The 17,261-nt window shown below is 36.8% G+C and overlaps 1 protein-coding gene across 6 annotated transcripts in view; it reads left to right on the plus strand.

Moving 5' to 3' along the window:
• TAF4B (TATA-box binding protein associated factor 4b) overlaps positions 1–17,261 on the plus strand; it is a 165,241-nt gene that overhangs the window by 82,114 nt on the left and 65,866 nt on the right. For 4 of the 6 annotated variants that reach the window (NR_121653.2, NM_001293725.2, XM_024451239.2 and 1 more), the window contains 2 exons: positions 6,671–6,840; positions 12,512–12,642. Coding sequence is in view for 5 of the 6 variants with exons in the window: in NM_001293725.2 (NP_001280654.1) it covers positions 6,671–6,840; positions 12,512–12,642 (301 nt within the window). In the remaining variant the exon portion in view is untranslated. Of the gene's footprint in view, positions 1–6,670; positions 6,841–12,511; positions 12,643–17,261 lie in introns of those variants that run through there. The other 2 variants (XM_011526153.3, XM_017025932.2) reach the window with 2 other exon arrangements.

Here is a 17,261-nt window from a genome sequence, read left to right on the forward strand (position 1 = left end):
ATCTAAAAATTTCTTGTTAAGAAATTAAATTAGGCCAGGCGTAGTGGCTCACACCTGTAATCCGAGCACTTTGGGAGGCCGAGGTGGGCGGATCATCTGAGGTCTGGAGTTCGAGATCAGCCTGGCCAACATGGTGAAACCCTGTCTCTACTAAAAATACAAAATTAGCTGGGTGTGGTGGTGCATGCCTGTAGTCCCAGCTACTTGGGAGGCTGGGACAGGGGAATCGCTGGAACCTGGGAGGCGGAGGATGCAGTGAGCCGAGACTGTGCCATTTCACTCCAACCTGGCAGCCTGGGCAACAGAGTGAGACTCTGTCTCAAAAAAAAAAAAAAAAAAAAGAAATTGATAATTGAACTGAGAACATGAATATAGGAAAGAGCTAGTACATACTTCAGGAAACAATTGATAACTAAATATTTCCTAGTATACTATAGATCAGCAGTCTCAGAGTTACCCAGGGAATTTGTTAAAATTTTGGTTCCTGGAGCTGATCTAATCTAGAATAAAATCTCTGGGGATTGGGTATGGCAGGAACTTGTATTTTAAAAATCCTTATAATGAACATATTTCTGATGTTCATTATAAATTTAGGAACTATAAGTATATATAGACCAGCATTTGACAGACATTTTCATGAAAATGAATGAAGTGAGTCTGTCACTTTAGGGAAAAAACCTGACAGTATTTTTTTTTTTTTTTTTTTTTTTTTTTTTTTTTTTGCCAATGATAAAGTTGGAGCTATCAAGCAAAAATGAAAACTTTGCAAAACATATCTATTACCATGACTTTGACAGCTTTCCAATAGTTATATTTTCTGATTTGGTTGGTGGAGATACATGTAATTTTGGATTATGTATTAGAATCTAAATTTGGAAGAACTGTATGACTCAGTGAACTAGTATTTTCCATATTACCAATGGATGATGTTGCAAAACCATGTCTGAGTAACAGATCCCATTCAAAATGCAAGAGGACCCGTGGATTTTAAAAAGATTTGTAAAAATAGAAGGCAGTACCACTCTTGATCTATTTTTAAATTTTGATATGTTAATTTTTGTTAAAGTATGTTATTTATGGTAATATATATTTCTTATTTTTCAATGAATAAATAATACCAATTTTTAGTTTCTGATGCAGTTTTAGTTTCTAATACAGTTTTCACACAAAATTACATGAGAGGGTCATTTTCACTCCCATTTTACAGATAAGGGGATCAATGAATAGACGTGGGAAGAAACTTGTCCATGGTCATCCTATTAATATTTATTTTTTATTTTTTATTTTTGAGATGAAGTCTCACTCTGTCGCCCAAGCTGGAGTGCAGTGGCGCGATCTCAGTTGCAAACTCTGCCTCCCGGGTTCAAGAGATTCTCCTGCCTCAGCCTCCCGAGTAGCTGGGATTAGAGGCATGCAACCATGCCCAGCTCATTTTTGTATTTTTAGTAGAGATGGGGTTTCACCATATTGGCCAGGTTGGTGCTGAGCCCCTGACCTCAGGAGACACGCCCACCTCGGGCTCCGAAAGTGTTGGGATTACAGGTGTGAGCCACTGCACCCAGCCATCCTGTTAATAATGGTCAGAACAGGGACTGAAACCTTGACCTCTTTAGAATCAGTACTCTTAATTTTTATAACTCAGTATTTTTCTTAGTGTGGTCCTTAGACCATTTGTATCATGATCATTTAAGTGTGCCTGTTAGAAAACTCCAAATCCCTGGTCTCCATCATAGGCCTACCAAATGAGAATCATGGGTACTGTGTGGATGTGTGTTTGACATTGAGACCTGCATTTTAAATATACTTCCTAGGTGTTTCCTAAAAACACTATTGCTTGAGAAGTACTGCAGTATGCTACGCTACATTTGAGTTAATAAGAAGAGAGGGAAATTCCCATGAGAAAAACAACTTTAAAGCATAGAAGAAGGAATAAGCAGGATATTGTGTGAATTTACTGGCTCACTGTGGTAGAGAGGCTCTGCTTGAGAGAGGTGAAAAAAGAATATTGAAGGCAAACTAATTTTATTACAGATTTAGTAATCTAAGGAAATAACTAGATCTTAAAATAAAAGTTTTTGTTTATATTTTAAAAACTCATTTATTTGAGTAGGTAATGTGAACATTTTACACGAAATTTATAAGGTACAAGAAGGTATGCAATGGGAAAAGTAAGGGTTCCCCTGACTTCTTTATCCCCCCTATTACCCAGGTTCCCAGCCTAGAGCCAACCAGTTACCACTTTTTTTCAGTTTCTTATGTATTGTTCTAAGTATAGTATTTTTTTTTTCTTGGGTACAGTATACTTTATTGATGGTACATGACAAGATGGAGCTCCCTAGATATAGTATTCAACACAGATGGTAATATATAATACATACATAATGTTTTGCTTTTTTTGTTTTTTTTTTAACCACTTAATAGTAATCTTGGAGATTGTCTCATCAGTACATATTCACTGTGATTTTGATATTTTTAACAAAGTTCCATAATGATGGACATTTAGGTTGTTTCCATTGTTTCATACTAGGAAAAAAGCTGCAGTGATAGGTGATGAAGATGATTAATATGATCAATAAAATTAGTTGGAATTTAAGGCAAATACATTGATTAGAAAAGAAGACAGAGTAAGAACTACCATAACAGAGACAAACATGTGCTCTCAGGAGTTCAGCATTGTAGCAGTTGGACAAATGATTTAAAAGTATAAAACCAGCATTTCTAAAGTAGGCATTCAAAGTGGATCTGGGACATAGATAAGGCTTTGAAAGCTTTGAAAATAAGAAAAAAGCAAAGGGGCTGGGCGTGGTGGCTCACACCTGTAATCCCAGCATTTTGGGAGGCCGAGGCAGGCAGATCACCTGAGGTTAGGAGTTTGAGACCAGCCTGGCCAACGTGGCAAAATCCTGTCTCTACTAAAAAAAATACAAAAATTAGCCAGGCGTGGTGGTGCTACTCAGGAGGCTGAGGCATGAGAATCGCTTGAACCCAGGTGGTGGAGGTTGCAGTGAGCCGAGACCTTGCCACTGCACTCCAGCCTGGGCGACAAAACGAGACTCAGTCTCAAAGAAACAAAAAAACAAGCATAGGAAGTTGAAGACTAGAACAGGAAGGGAATAGTCTAAGCAAAGTCCAGAATCAGGAGGAGTTATTCTATAGTGAGTAATGGAAGGAAGGGGGAAGAGTGCTAACTGTGGTCATTACCTGGAAGACCTTGGATGTCAAGTTGAGTTCAGGGTAATGTGAAAGATTTTTGAACAGGAAAATAACGTGACTGACTTTACTTTAGAAGAAGTAGTCTGCTGTTGTTAGAGAAGTTAAGGGGATAGAAGAAGACATTGTAAGAAGGCAGGCATGAGCAGGCATTCTCAAAAGCTAAAGAATTAGATCAGTTTCAGAAGCTAGAATGCAAAGCATTTGTGATAAATTAGTGATATTTTTGTAATATTTGCCTAGTTCCCTGTAACACTCCATAGAATCTTGAGTTGGAAGGCTTTTTCTACTGAGGCACTATTAAGTTTGTTTTTCTGAATATCTTTTAAAACAAAACAGATTGTCTTTCACAGCACCTTCATCGAAAGACACCGCATCAGACCAGAAGACTTGAAGACTTGGTTTGGTGATTCTTACTTACTTCTTGAAAATTAAAACCAAACCAGAATCACAAATATCTCTAAACATCAAAGCCTTTGCTAGTGTCCTGACCTCTTATCTAGCCTTACTGATATGCTGCTAGAACACTGCTTTCCTTTAGTCTGCCTCCTTGACTAAAGAAGTTTTAAATAGCTTGGGTGCTGTTTTTTTGTGGCACCTTTTCCTCTTTCCTCAGTAGGGGTCCTCCTCTACGCCTGCCACCATCTGTAACCATGGTAACTAGAGGGAGTTGTGTTCAGCTTGGGGCTAGATAGAAGGAAGGATGGCAGGCAAGAACAAATCTTATTGAGTAGTTAGTTCCCTGCTCATTTGCAGGGAAAGGCTGCAAGATTCTAAAAGACATGGGACTGTCTCCTCATTGACTGAATTCTGTTCAGTGCTAATACAATGCTAGGTATTGGTAGTAAGTAGGCCTGGCACTGGTCTTGCCAGCCTGTGTGTGAGATGTCAACAAAGGCTGTACAGGGACCTTGCTAGAGAAGCAAGGTGCAATTTCCAGGGGCCTGTGTACCTGGCGCACATCTTAGTTGACAGGCACTCAGTGTTGTATGTATATGTGTAAAGGTCATGTGGAGTTACCCGCACGTTAAAACTCCAGTTTTACTTTAAAGCAGGGATGAGGTTATATCTCTACACTTCAATTTTTCTATCTTTACTTTTCTTTATCTGAGTGTTTACTTATGTTACTTTCAATATCACCAATTATTTTGATTGGGCAATCCATATATATAGTACAACATTCAAAAGATAGAAAAGGGTATAATTGGTATAAAGTAAGCCTTCTTCCTATCCCTGGTTTTGTATTTCTCTCTCCAGAAAATTTCTTATGTATCTTTCCAAAAATATATTATGCCTATGTAAGCGTATGTATTTTCAAGGTGCAGTCTCTTTGTTCCATGTCAGTCCAAAGAGAGCTGCATCATTTTTTTAAGTGGTTGAGAGGGACCTTAGAAAGCACCTAATCTGAGTTATGTATTTTTTGGAGGAGGAAACTGAGTCCCAGAGATGTTAAATAACTGGTTAGGATTCTGTTTTGCAGTCATCTGACTTTTCATTTATGTTCACGTGTTCTTTTGAAAATAAATTTTACATAGTCCCATTAAAATTTTTTTACTCAGATTTTGGTCCATCTTTAGGCTTATGATTCCTTACATTCTTAATGCTTTCGATGTTTAAATGTTTAGATGTTTAAATCTGGACACATTGATTTATTTATATAGGTGGCAGAGTGATTCTTAAAATCGTTCTTAGCATCCCATGTCTCTGAGGATACCTTTGTGACGTTTCTTTGCTCTGCATATTTCATTTGGTGGTTTGAGAAATTAAGTTTTTACTGTTTTCTTTCCCCATTACAGAGACATGCCTTTTAATTTTGAGCTTTTGGTATACTGTTCATGTAAGACCATTGTTACTTCTCTTCATTTTTTCAATTGCTGTGTTTAGCAGTTTACTTTCCTTGAGTTTTTTTTTTTTAAACACAGGGTCTCACTCTGTCACCCAGGCTACAGTGCAGTGGCCTGATCACAGCTCACTGCAGCCTCTACCTCCCAGGCTCAAGTGATCCTCCCACCTCTGCCTCTCAAGTAGCTGGAACCACAGGCATATACAGCCATGCCTGGCTAATTTTTTTTTGTTTTCTGTAGAGGTGGTATCTCCCTATGTTGCCCAGGCTGATCTCGAACTCCTCACCTAAAGCAATCCTCCCACCTTGGCCTCCCAGAGTACTGGAATTACAGATGGTAGCCACTGCTCCTGGCCTACTTTCTTTTATTTTGCTTACATCTCTTATATGTGTTTGAGTATGAGTTCTTTTCCCCCTCATCCCTAATGTGTTGTTTTTTAAAGTTGAACACCAGAGGCCTTCATTTTTTGAGCATTTTACACTTTATTTCCTTTTTCTGTGCACAGATGCATTACCACAGAGAAATTTGTAATTTAAATCCTATTGACAAAAGACCATATTATATACCATTTGGCCCATGCAATAAAGAGAAACAACATCTTTTTATATAATCACATTATTGTAACTTATGTTATACATTGTCATATAACACTGGTAAGATGCTTCTTATTACATATAGTGACAAGGATGCTATGAGGGAATTTTAGTATTTCTTTCCTCTCCCTCTTCTTTACCCTTAAATATATATACTCATCTTAGTGCTGTGGCCACGTAACAATTCCATTAGATAAAAACAACTGTTTAATTTTGCTGATACAAAGCAAGGAGCCCAGACATCTTTTGTATTTTTTATGCACATGTATGTATGTGTGTGTGTATATGTACATGAGTGTGTTTTATATTTTATATATAGGCCATTTTTGGGTAATTGCTGAGGATGTGGTTTAACGAATTCAGTTGGTATAGATGGAGCACACCAAAAGTCTGAAACAGAAAAACAAAACTAGTTTTATACCATTTGGTTTTAGAATGGCTAGTCTAGTAAGCTTCTTCCCAAGGGTCTTTATGTGGATATGGACCTTTCAGGACCAGATAATTTCTGCTGCCCTTAAGTGGAATGAATGGTAGAGTACACTGGGGACAGCTGATGGACTTTTAACCATCTTGGATGAAAAGAAAGATGTCTGTTTTCATTTCTTTGTCTTTCATTGCAGAGGATTTATGGATGACTTGGTGTAACTCCAAATGCCTCTTGGTGTTTCTTATTTGCCAGACTGAGAGAGGGAAAGTTGGGACCTAGAAGACAAAGTTACTTCTGATTCATCCTTCTGTTATTAAATATACATTGGTGGTTAGAGACACTAATTACTTTCAAAAGCTTAAAGGGAAAGGTAGCCATTCTTCACTTCTCTTGATTGGATGAATTAAGTAAAATAATGCCGTTAGTTACAAGGAGAGACCTCTAATTCTTTTGCTCTCTGAAACTCTCTCTCTCTCTCTCTCTCTCTCTCTCTCTCTCTCTCTCTCTCTCTCTGTCTCTCTCTCTCTCTCACACACACACACACACACACACACACACACAACCTAAAATGTATAACTTTTTTTTTTTTCTATTAGAGATGAGGATGACATCAATGATGTGACTTCTATGGCAGGGGTCAACCTTAATGAAGAAAATGCCTGCATCTTAGCAACAAACTCTGAATTGGTTGGCACACTCATTCAGTCATGTAAAGATGAACCATTTCTTTTTATTGGAGCTCTACAAAAGAGAATTTTAGACATTGGTAAGTGTAGAGTTATGATTATTGACCTGATAGAGATGTCTGTTTGAGGGAAAATATTATCAAAAGAGACAACCTGGGTTGGTTGTCCTGGAACTCTGAGGCTTAAATAAGATTCTAGAAATAATCAAGATTTCATGGGCATTACAGAAAGAAGTAGTTTATTTTAAAAATTATTAATATAACATGGTATTGGGTTTGGTTAATATTTTACTCATATTTCTTAATGGAGGAATAGTGGAATATATTTTTGCATGAATATATAATATACTATTTTTTTTTCTGTCCTGTTCCTTCCATAGTTGGACTTTTGGCATATATATGTACAAATGCACACTTATGTTACATGTTTGTGTTTATGAAATACAGGGACATCCAAAGAAAGTAACTCCCTTTCCCTTTTCTTAACCTTGAAGTTTAAACCCATTCTTACTTTAAAAAACTAGATTAGAGTCTTAGGGTCCTCTCTAGGCCCAGGAGTAGTTGTTAGATAGCTGCAGTGTGAAAGAAAATGTAAGAAAACACGGCCAGACACGGTGTCTCATGCCTGTAATCCTAGCACTTTCGAAGGCCAAGGTGGGCAGATCACATGAGTTCAGGAGTTTGAGACTAGCCTGGCCAACATGGTGAAACCCTGTCTGTACTAAAAATACAGAAAATTAGCCAGGTGTGGTGGGGGTGCGCCTGTAGTCTTAGCTACTCGGGAGGCTGAGGCATGAGAATCGCTTGAACCCGGGAGGCTTCTTCACCTATGTCAAATTTTTGGGGCCAGTACTAATGAGCTTCAAATATACTTAAGTAAGACCTTTATATTTTATAACGAAGGCTTGATACAAAAACGTGAAGGTTTCGATTTTTATAGACCTATGGTATATTTAAGGACTACAAAGTTCATTATTATTACAGTTTTTAGGTCTACTTCACAGGTACTCAGTAAATAAATGTTTTAGCTGCTGTATGCTATATAAATGACCAGGGTTTTCTTCTTCTTCTTCTTTTTTTTTTCCTCAAGATGGAGGGAGCCTCACTCTGTCACCCAGGCTGGAGTGCAGTGGTGCCATCTTGGCTCACTGCAGCCTCTGCCTCCCAGGTTCAAGTGATTCTCCTGCCTCAGCCTCCTGAGTAACTGGGATTATAGGCACCCACCACCACACCCAGCTAATTTTGGAATTTTTAGTAGAGACAGGGTTTTACCATGTTAGCCAGGCTTGTCTTGAGCTCTTCACCTCAGGTGATCCACCCGCCTCCCAAAGTGCTGGGATTACAGGCGTGAGCCACCGTGCCTGGCTTACATTTCTAATTTAAATCGAGAATACATTATTATGAAAAACTAGAGCTTTGAAGTCCAGAAGAGCTGATTGTAAAATGTGTTTGTTTTCTATTTGCTTGTGTTTCCCTCCCTCTCCCTGTGTTCCTTCATTCCTTTGCTTCTTCCATTTTCTTTTTTGCATATGTATTTTGTATTATACAGAAACCAGTTCCTTAATTTGGGAACAAGTCTCAGCACTAAACCTTCCTGTGATGGCTTGGGAAATCTATTGGTAGCTTAACTCCTTATTGCCATATAATTATCTAGTGCTTTGGTAAAATATAAGTAGATACTTAGTTTTATCGGTCACCCTCCCTTCCGATTTTTTTTTTTTTTTTTTTTGAGACTGAGTTTTGTTCTTGTTGCCCAGGCTGCAGTGCAGTGGCACGATCTCGGCTCACTATAACCTCCGCCTCCCGGGTTCAAGCGATTCTCCTGCCTCAACCTCCCGAGTAGCTGGGATTACAGGTGCCCACTACCATGCCCGGCTAATTTTTTGTATTTTTAGTAGAGATGGGGTTTCACCATGTTGGCCAGGCTGGTCTTGAACTCCTGACGTCAAGTCATCCACCCGCCTTGGCCTCCCGAAATGCTGGGGTTACAGTCGTGAGCCACTGTGCCCAGCCTGCTTCCAAATTCTATTTCCAGTGTGGTTTAAACCTTGATTATATGATAGAAAAATTTTTGGCATTAAAAGCATTTTTGATCACTTAGGACAGGGATAAGCAACTTTTTCCTTCAAAGGGCAGATAATATTTGCCACTTTTGTAGGTTATATGGTTTCTGTCACAATTGCTCAATTCGGCTGTCATAGTACAAAGCAGCCATAGACAATGTGTAAACAAATGGGCATGGTTATTGTCTTAGTCATCTTGGATTGCTGTAACAAAATACCATAAATTGGATGGCTTAAACAACAAATGTTTATTTCTCATAGTTCTGGAGGTTGGCCATTTGAGATCAGGGTGCCAGCACGGTCAGATTCTTGGTGAAGGCCTTCTTTCTGGTATTCAGACAGCCATCTTCTTGCTGTGTTTTCATGTGGCAGAAAGATAACTAGCTAGCTCTCTGGTCTCTTCTTAGGGCGAAGGCAGTACTTTTATGACCTAATTGTCTCCCAAAGGCCCCAACTCCAAATACCATCTCACTGGCATTAGAGCTTCAACATGAATGACTTTTGGGGAGATGCAAACATTTAGTCCATGCAACTGTATCCCCGTAAAACTTCACTTACAAAGAGTGATCAGATTTGGCTTGTTGGCCATAGTTTGGTAACCTCTAATTTAGCACAATAAGGGAACAACTATTTGCATTTTTACTTCTTTTTTAAAAAAATATTTATTTTTGGGATGTGGTCTTGCTCTGTTGCCCAGGCTGGAGTACAGTGGTGCTATCACAGCTCACTGCAGCCCTAACTTCCCAGGTTCAAGTGATCCTCCTGCCTCAACCTTTTGAAGTAGCTGGGACTACAGGTGCGCACTACTAAATCTGGCTAATTTTTGTATTTTTCTGTAGAGACAGGGTCTCACTATGTTGCCCAGGTTGATCTTGAACTCCTGGTCTTAAATCATTTTCAGTTCTTAGTGATGAAGTACAAACCTGTCGAATAATATGGAAAACTTCAAGAATTCTTACTTCTGAATTAGCTAAGCTTTTTTTTTTTTTAAAGTAGGATCATAGAGTGAATGGAGTTACATATTTCTAGGAATGCTTTCCATTTATAATAAAATTCCTTCCTTGTAGAATAGGTCAGAACCAAGGCTGTTTGTTAAAAATAGAAATTACAAATTTACCCAAAGATTTTCTTTTTGGAAAAAGGATTTTTCTACTTGAATAATGTTAACAGATAAAATGCCAGTGTTCTTTTCTTTTTTTCCTAATAACCTAAATTAAATTGCACGTTCAGTAAAATCACATAACTAGTGTGCAAGCACCAACTAGATCTTAATCAGTTTTGTTGATTTTGTTAAAAAGGGTGTTTTGTTTTAAAATGGGAATTTTTCTACAGTATTTTACTTTGTAATTTTTAAGTTGTATTTTATTACCAATTTAGTGAAGACATTACAACATTTGGTTGTTCCCTAAACCCTGGAATTGTTTAATCTCAGCACTTATTTCCAATATTTAAAAGATATGTGTGTTTTTATGTTGGATGAATTACCTCTGTTTTATGAATACATATGAAATTATTTTCAGAAGTTCTTCTTCAAACACTAAGGTGCCTTGCACCTGTAATCCCAGCACTTTGGGAGGCTGAGGCAGGAGGATTGCTTGAGCCCAGAAGCTAGAGACCAGCCTGGGCAACATAGTGAGACCCAATCTCTACAAAAATTTAAAAAAGTAGTTGGGCCTGTTGGCTCATGCCTGTACTTCTAGCTACTCAGCAGGCTGAGGTGGGAGGATTGTTTGAGCCTGGCAGGTCGAAGTTGCAGTGGGCTATGATTGCTCCACTGCATTCCAGCCTGGGTGACAGAGTGAGACCCTGTCTCAAAAATAATAATAATAGGCCAGGAGCGGTGGCTTACACCTGTAATCCCAGCACTTTGGGAAGCTGAGGCGGGCAGATCACTTGAGGTCAGGAGTTTGAGACTAGCCTGGCCAACATGGTGAAACGCCATCTCTACTAAAAATACAAAAAAAAATCAGCCAGGTGTGGTGGCGCTTGCCTATAAGTAATCCCAGCTACTTGGGAGGCTGAGGCAGGAATGTTGCTTGAACCTGGGAGGCAAAGGTTGCAGTGAGTGGAGATTGCACCACTGCACTCCAGCCTGGGTGACAGAGCAAGACTCCATCTCAAGAAAATAAAAATAAAAATAAGAAATAAAATTGTACTTTTTCTTTTATAGAAGGCCCCACTATTTGTTTATGCTGAGGGTTTTAGTTTAATTTTTATTTTTTTTTTGAGATGCAGTTTTGCTCATGTTACCCAGGCTGGAGCGCAATGGTGCGATCTCAGCGCACTGCAATTTCCGCCTCCCAGGTACAAGTGATTCTCCTGTCTCAACCTCTCGTGTAGCTCGGATTACAGGCATGCACCACCACGACCAGCTATTTTTTTTGTATTTAGTAGAGACGGGGTTTCACCGTGTTAGTCAGGCTGGTCTCGAACTCCTGACATCAGGTGATCCACCTGCCTTGGCCTCCCAAAGTGCTGGAATTACAGGCGTGTGCCACCATGCCTGGCCTATGCTGAGGGTTTTATTAAAGTAGAGTTGACTTTGTAGAATTTTTTTCCCTGCCTGAATCTGAGATTAGAGAGGATTTCAGCTTTGTTACAAGTAATGAATTACATTTTGAAGGGTTGGTTTAGGAGAAGTTGATTAATTTTGTATCTTCCTATTTGCTTTCATTATATAATATCAATGTATTTGAGTTATTGACTTTTAATTCAAGCATATTTTTTCTGTAGTTCACCCTTTGATGAGAATATAAGAGTATATTTCAGGTAAATTAGAATATAAAATCAAACTATAATATTTTAAAAATTCATGTGTATATGTTAAAAACAATCACAGTAGTGCTTTTTAAAAAGCCTATTTAAAACAGATGACCTAATTGCCTGTATCTTTAGATTTAAGCCTCTGTTGATATAAGTGGTTTCACTGGGGCTGAGAAGTACTATTTAAATTACGGACAAGGTTGATTTATAAATGAACTTCTGACTCTTTTGAGTATGTGGTCCAAATTGTTTTCCTGAAACTTTCTTGCTAGTTAGCAGAAGGAAGAAGTTTGATTTTTTTATGGAAAGGAAATCTAGTGAGAGAGAAGTTATTCAGATAGGTAGGTGAAACGATGAGGTTTTGAACCCATTTGAACTTGTAAATTGACTACTAAGTGAATATATCAGAACATCAGTTAATGCAAAGTAAACATGATTGGTAATAGACAAAAGGAATATAGGTATGTCTTGTAGACAAGGCATTAACAGAGACTCATAATCTGAATTCATTTAAATAAATGTCATAAATTGTTAACAGTGTCAAACAGGGCAAAATGTAATTTTCTATTTTTTTAATTACTAAAATTAACAGAATATGGTACTAATTTCTGCAGTTACCATTTTCCTCCCTGAACAATAGACTTGATTTGTGTTCTTATTAACTTTGTCCTATAAATGACCTTGCAAGGAGAATGATTCTAGAGGCTAAGTGAAACAATGTCTATATTTTCTGAGGCTTCAGGCTAGGTTTTATTAATGTAATGTCTAAGATCTTTGAAGTTGTGACTTTACTAGGAAAATCATAATCTCCAAACCTTTATTCATAATGGGTATGACTTCCAGGGGGAACAGAATACCTGCTGTGCTAATTATTTCAATTATCAGCCACTACTAAAACACGTAATGGATTTTCTCTGCTTCTGCAGGTAAAAAGCATGACATTACAGAACTTAACTCTGATGCTGTGAACTTGATCTCCCAAGCAACACAGGAACGACTACGAGGCCTTCTAGAAAAACTGACTGCAATTGCTCAGCATCGAATGACTACTTACAAGGTAAAGGAAATCATTAAAGAAGTATAAACTCTCGAGTGTTATAGGTAGTCTTTTGGGCGTGGATTGATATTCTAAACACGTTTTTAAAGGAATGGTTGAGGCTTATATTTCATATTAGTGGAAAATCAAAGTCTCATTCTTATTTAGATAAGCTTACATGACAAATAAAATTAAAATGGAGTTTAAAATGATATTAAAAGCTTCTGTGTCACTGTAGATTGAAATATGTATCTGTTCTGCATGAGGCTTCTCTTAAGCTTTTGATGGGGAAGGAAAGATATGTTAGAATGGAATATTGGCTACTTGTGTTCTCTTCAGTGTTCTGCACTCTCCTCGCATTCCTGTTCCTTTTTTTTTTTTTGCCTTTCAGTTTTCCAGAGATTGATTTATTTTAAAATAAATTTTATTGTATATATTAATATTTAAGGTATACAACGTGTTAAAGATACACATGTATAGTAAAATTATTACTATTTAGTTGAATAAGTTAACATTTTCATTATCTCAAATCTACCCATTTTCTCCCCTGTGGCAAAAGCAGCTATAATCTACTCATTTAGCAGAAATCCTGAAAACAATATATTACTAACCATAGTCCTTATGTTCTACATTAGATCTTTCCACTTGTTCATCCTCTGTTCCTTTTAATAAGTTAAATGATTGCATTGAGTGCTCATATTGATGCTACTAAGTGTTATTGGCTACTTTTATTAAAAAAACTAAATACAGGAATAGCTTGTATCCCTAGTGGTATGAACCAAATGACTTGCTGTTATCAAGGTAAAATAACTTGATGTAGTTTTGGAGGAGGGCGAATATATTGGGTGATTAGGGATGAAAAGAGAAGGTAACCTGAGTTGAAAATAAATAAATAAATAAGATAACTGTTTCCCTCTTTCCAAGAAATGTTTATAGCTAGATTTTGAACAAGATGGTATGTAGGTAACCTTAAGAGATTTTGAATTTGGAAGAATGGTCATTGCCGTGATATCCTAGTCAAAGGTTAAAGGAAACTAGGAAATTGTCAGCTACTACACCACCAGTAAGTTCCCTGGAGGAATCATATTATTTTATTTTTTTTTCCTTTCCATTTAGAACTTTGGAAAAACTACATATGATTGCCAAGGTCCTCACTTGCATAAATCTTTGTGAGAATTTGCTGGACTGACTTAGGAATATGTGATCAACAGGAGAAAAAGCTATGAAAAAAACAAAAAATTAATATCAGTATTTTATAATTCCTAGAAACACACAAAAATAAATAAAGATATTAATTTTGTGTTTCTAGGAATTTTTTCATTTCTCCTAGGTTATCTAATTTGTTGGCATAGGACTGTTAATAATACTGTCTTGTAACCTTTTATTTCTGTAAGGTCAATGGTAATGATCCCCCTTACATTACTGATTTTTGTTATTTGCATCTTCTCTCTTTTTCTTCTTTGCTAGTAAAGCGAATGGTGTGTTGATTTTGTTGAGCTTTTCAAATAACCAACTTTTGGTTTTATTAATTTTCTGTTTTTCTATTTTTGATTTCGTGTATCTCCACTCTAGTTTTTATATTATTTTCCTTCTAAGCTTCAGGCTTAGTTTGCTCTTCTTTTTTTTTAGTTTCATAAGATGTAAAGTTAGGTTTTTTATTTGAGATCTTCCTTTTATAATGTAGGCGTTTACTACTATACATTTCCCTCTGAGTACTGCTTTCACTGCATTCCATAAGTTTTGGTATGTTGTGTTGTCGTTTTCATTTATCTTTAAATATTTTCTCATTTCTTTTGAGATTTATTTGATTCTTTGTGACTGTAGAGTATGTTGTTTAATTTCCAAATATGTGGGAATTTTCCAGTTTTCCTTTTGTTGTTGGTTTCTAGCTGTATTCCGTTGTGGTCAGAGAAGATACTTTGTATGAATCATTCATTTAAAATGTACTGAGGCTTGTTTTATGACTTAACATACATTGTATCCTGGAAAATGTTTCATGTGCACTTGAGAAGAATGTGTGTTCTGCTCTTGTTTCATAGATGTCTGATAGATATAGTTGGTTTATAATGTTAAGTCCTCTGTTTCCTTATTGATCATCCATCTGGATGTTCTATTCATTATTGAAAGTGCAGTATTAAAATCTTCAACTATTGTGGAGCTCTATTTTTCTTTTTGTTTTAGAGACAGGGTCTCACTCTGTCATCCAGGCTGGAGTGCAGTGGTGCAATCATAGCTCATTGCAACCTTGAACTCCTGGACTCAAGCACCCTCCCACCTCAAGCCACCCTCCCACCTCAGCCTTTCCAGTAGCTAAGACTAACAGGCGTGTGCCACCACACCCAACTAATTTTTTTTTTTTTTTTTTTGAGACAGGGGCTCACTATGTTGCCCATGCTGTGGAATTGTTTTTTAAACAAAATTCTGTCAATGTTTGTTTGCTTCATATATTTGAGAAGTCTGGTTTGATGTGTATATCTTCTTGATGAATTGACCTTTTTATCAATATATAATAATGTCCTTGTTTGTCTCTTTTAAGGGTTTTGTACTTAAAGTCTATACTGTCTGATATTACTTTCTTTTGTTTGTTACTTGCATGGAATATCTTTTTCCATCCTTTCACTTTCAGCGTATTGGTATGGTTTCAACTAAAGTATAGACAGCATATAATTTGATCATTTTTTAAAATTCATTCTGCTAGTCTCTTTGAAGAGCTTACTCCATTTACATTTAAAATGTAATTACTGATAAATAACTTCTATTTTGCTATTTCTTTTCTGTATGCCTTATAAGTTTTGTGTTCCTCACTTCCTCTGCTTCTTATGTTTAATTGTTTTTGTTTTGTTCCATTTTGATCCCCTTCTCATTTCGTTTTGGATATATTTAGATATCTTCTTAGCAGTTACCATAGAGATTACAATTAACATCCTAAATCTACAATCTAGTTTGGATTGTTATCAGCTTACTTTTAATTTTGTGATGTGGGAAAATTATAGACATATTTTTGGCTTTTTACTATAACTCTTTAAAGTATCTTACAGTTTTTCAAACTTAGATTCTCCCTACTTCTGCCTTAATCACACTGTTGTTTCAGAGATACATGAATACCTTTTTTAGTAGAGATAGGGTTTCGCCATGTTGGCCAGGCTGGTCTCAAACTCCTGGCCTCAAGCAATCCACCCGCCTCGGCCTCCCAAAGTGTTGGGATTACAAGTGTGAGTCACCATGCCTGGCCACGTGAGTACATCTTGATTTATAGTAGGCAGTTTCTGTATAAAACATAATAAGTATAATTTACAATGGAATAGAATTTTTAAAGTAATATTTATTGAATGGCATTCAAAGCTCTATTGTGTATAGCTTTCAGCTGGAATTCTTTTGTTGTATATCAGTAGCGTATTTCCAAACATTTAGTTGCACTAGGCAAAATGGATGGTATCTCCCCCACCTAGAAGACCTCACTAAGTTAGCTTGAAGCTAACACTTCCTTAACCTGCTGTCTTGTATACTACCTATTCTGACTGATTTTCCCGAGCTTTCCTTTTCCTACACTCATTTGTTAATACAGCTAATGCCACTGTCTACATTTGCGTATATATAAAATAACAAAAGATTATCAGCCCTTTTAAGTCAAAATAATTATCATTTGGTTATATTTGGATTCAGTTTGAAATCACCATTATTTTGTAGACTTTGTTTGTAATAATCTTTATGTCACAGCTTTAGCCCTGTCCTTATATTTCAGTTCATCCCTGATAGGATTTATTTTTATCTGTACAGTGTAGGAAATTCTACTCCATAGATTTTATAAAAGTGAGTTACTCTTTTTAAAAAAGTGAAATCCCCCCATCTCTTTCCACTCTTGAACATCCATTTACTTTTGATAATCTTTCACCTGGTTTGATATAATTCTTTAATCATTAGTCATAAACTGAGATCTAAGTAAATAAGTAGAAAGTGACATGTAGTACAGAGCTTTTGATCTGGCTACCAGGTGTTTTCCCACTGAAGATATGTTATAGTCGCCTATATGACTATGGCCCTGAAGAAGCTTCATTCAGTGTTTTCCAGTTGAAAGGTGCTATTTGGGTTGCTTTAGATGGGATTCATTTGATGGTGTTGATATCATTTGGTCTGGGTCATTACATTTTCTTGGCTAAACCATTTAATATGCAGTGGCCTTAACATTGTAAAGCCCTACTCTGTTGGTGCATGAAATCTTCAGTTAGGCCAGCTGGGTATATAGGAAGGAACATAAGATTGGGGTTGCTGTTGTTTAAATAAGGTTATAGACTTAATATGAATAGGGAGGGCACTCATTTGTTTAGTGATACGGAAGAAAAAAGGATGCGAATGTCAGAGGTCGTTGTATATGAGTTGGGGGAGAGAGAGGAAGGAATCTTAGCATGGGAATATGATTGGGCTAAAATTTAAAAAGTCTGTGACCCTTTTTAATTTAGTATTTGCTGTCCTTTTTAAATTAAATCCCATCATTAAACCATTTCCAGAGTGTCTAAACACAAAAATGGTAAAGATTAAGTATTTAAGAAACCACTGGTTATTATATTTAATCTCTATGGTTAGCCTATAATGTATTCCATATTCTATCTTGTGTTATTTAACTTTAAAAACAGTTGAGAATT

The sequence above is a fragment of the Homo sapiens genome, chromosome 18, assembly GCF_000001405.40.
Source record: "Homo sapiens chromosome 18, GRCh38.p14 Primary Assembly".
NCBI lineage: Eukaryota > Metazoa > Chordata > Mammalia > Primates > Hominidae > Homo > Homo sapiens.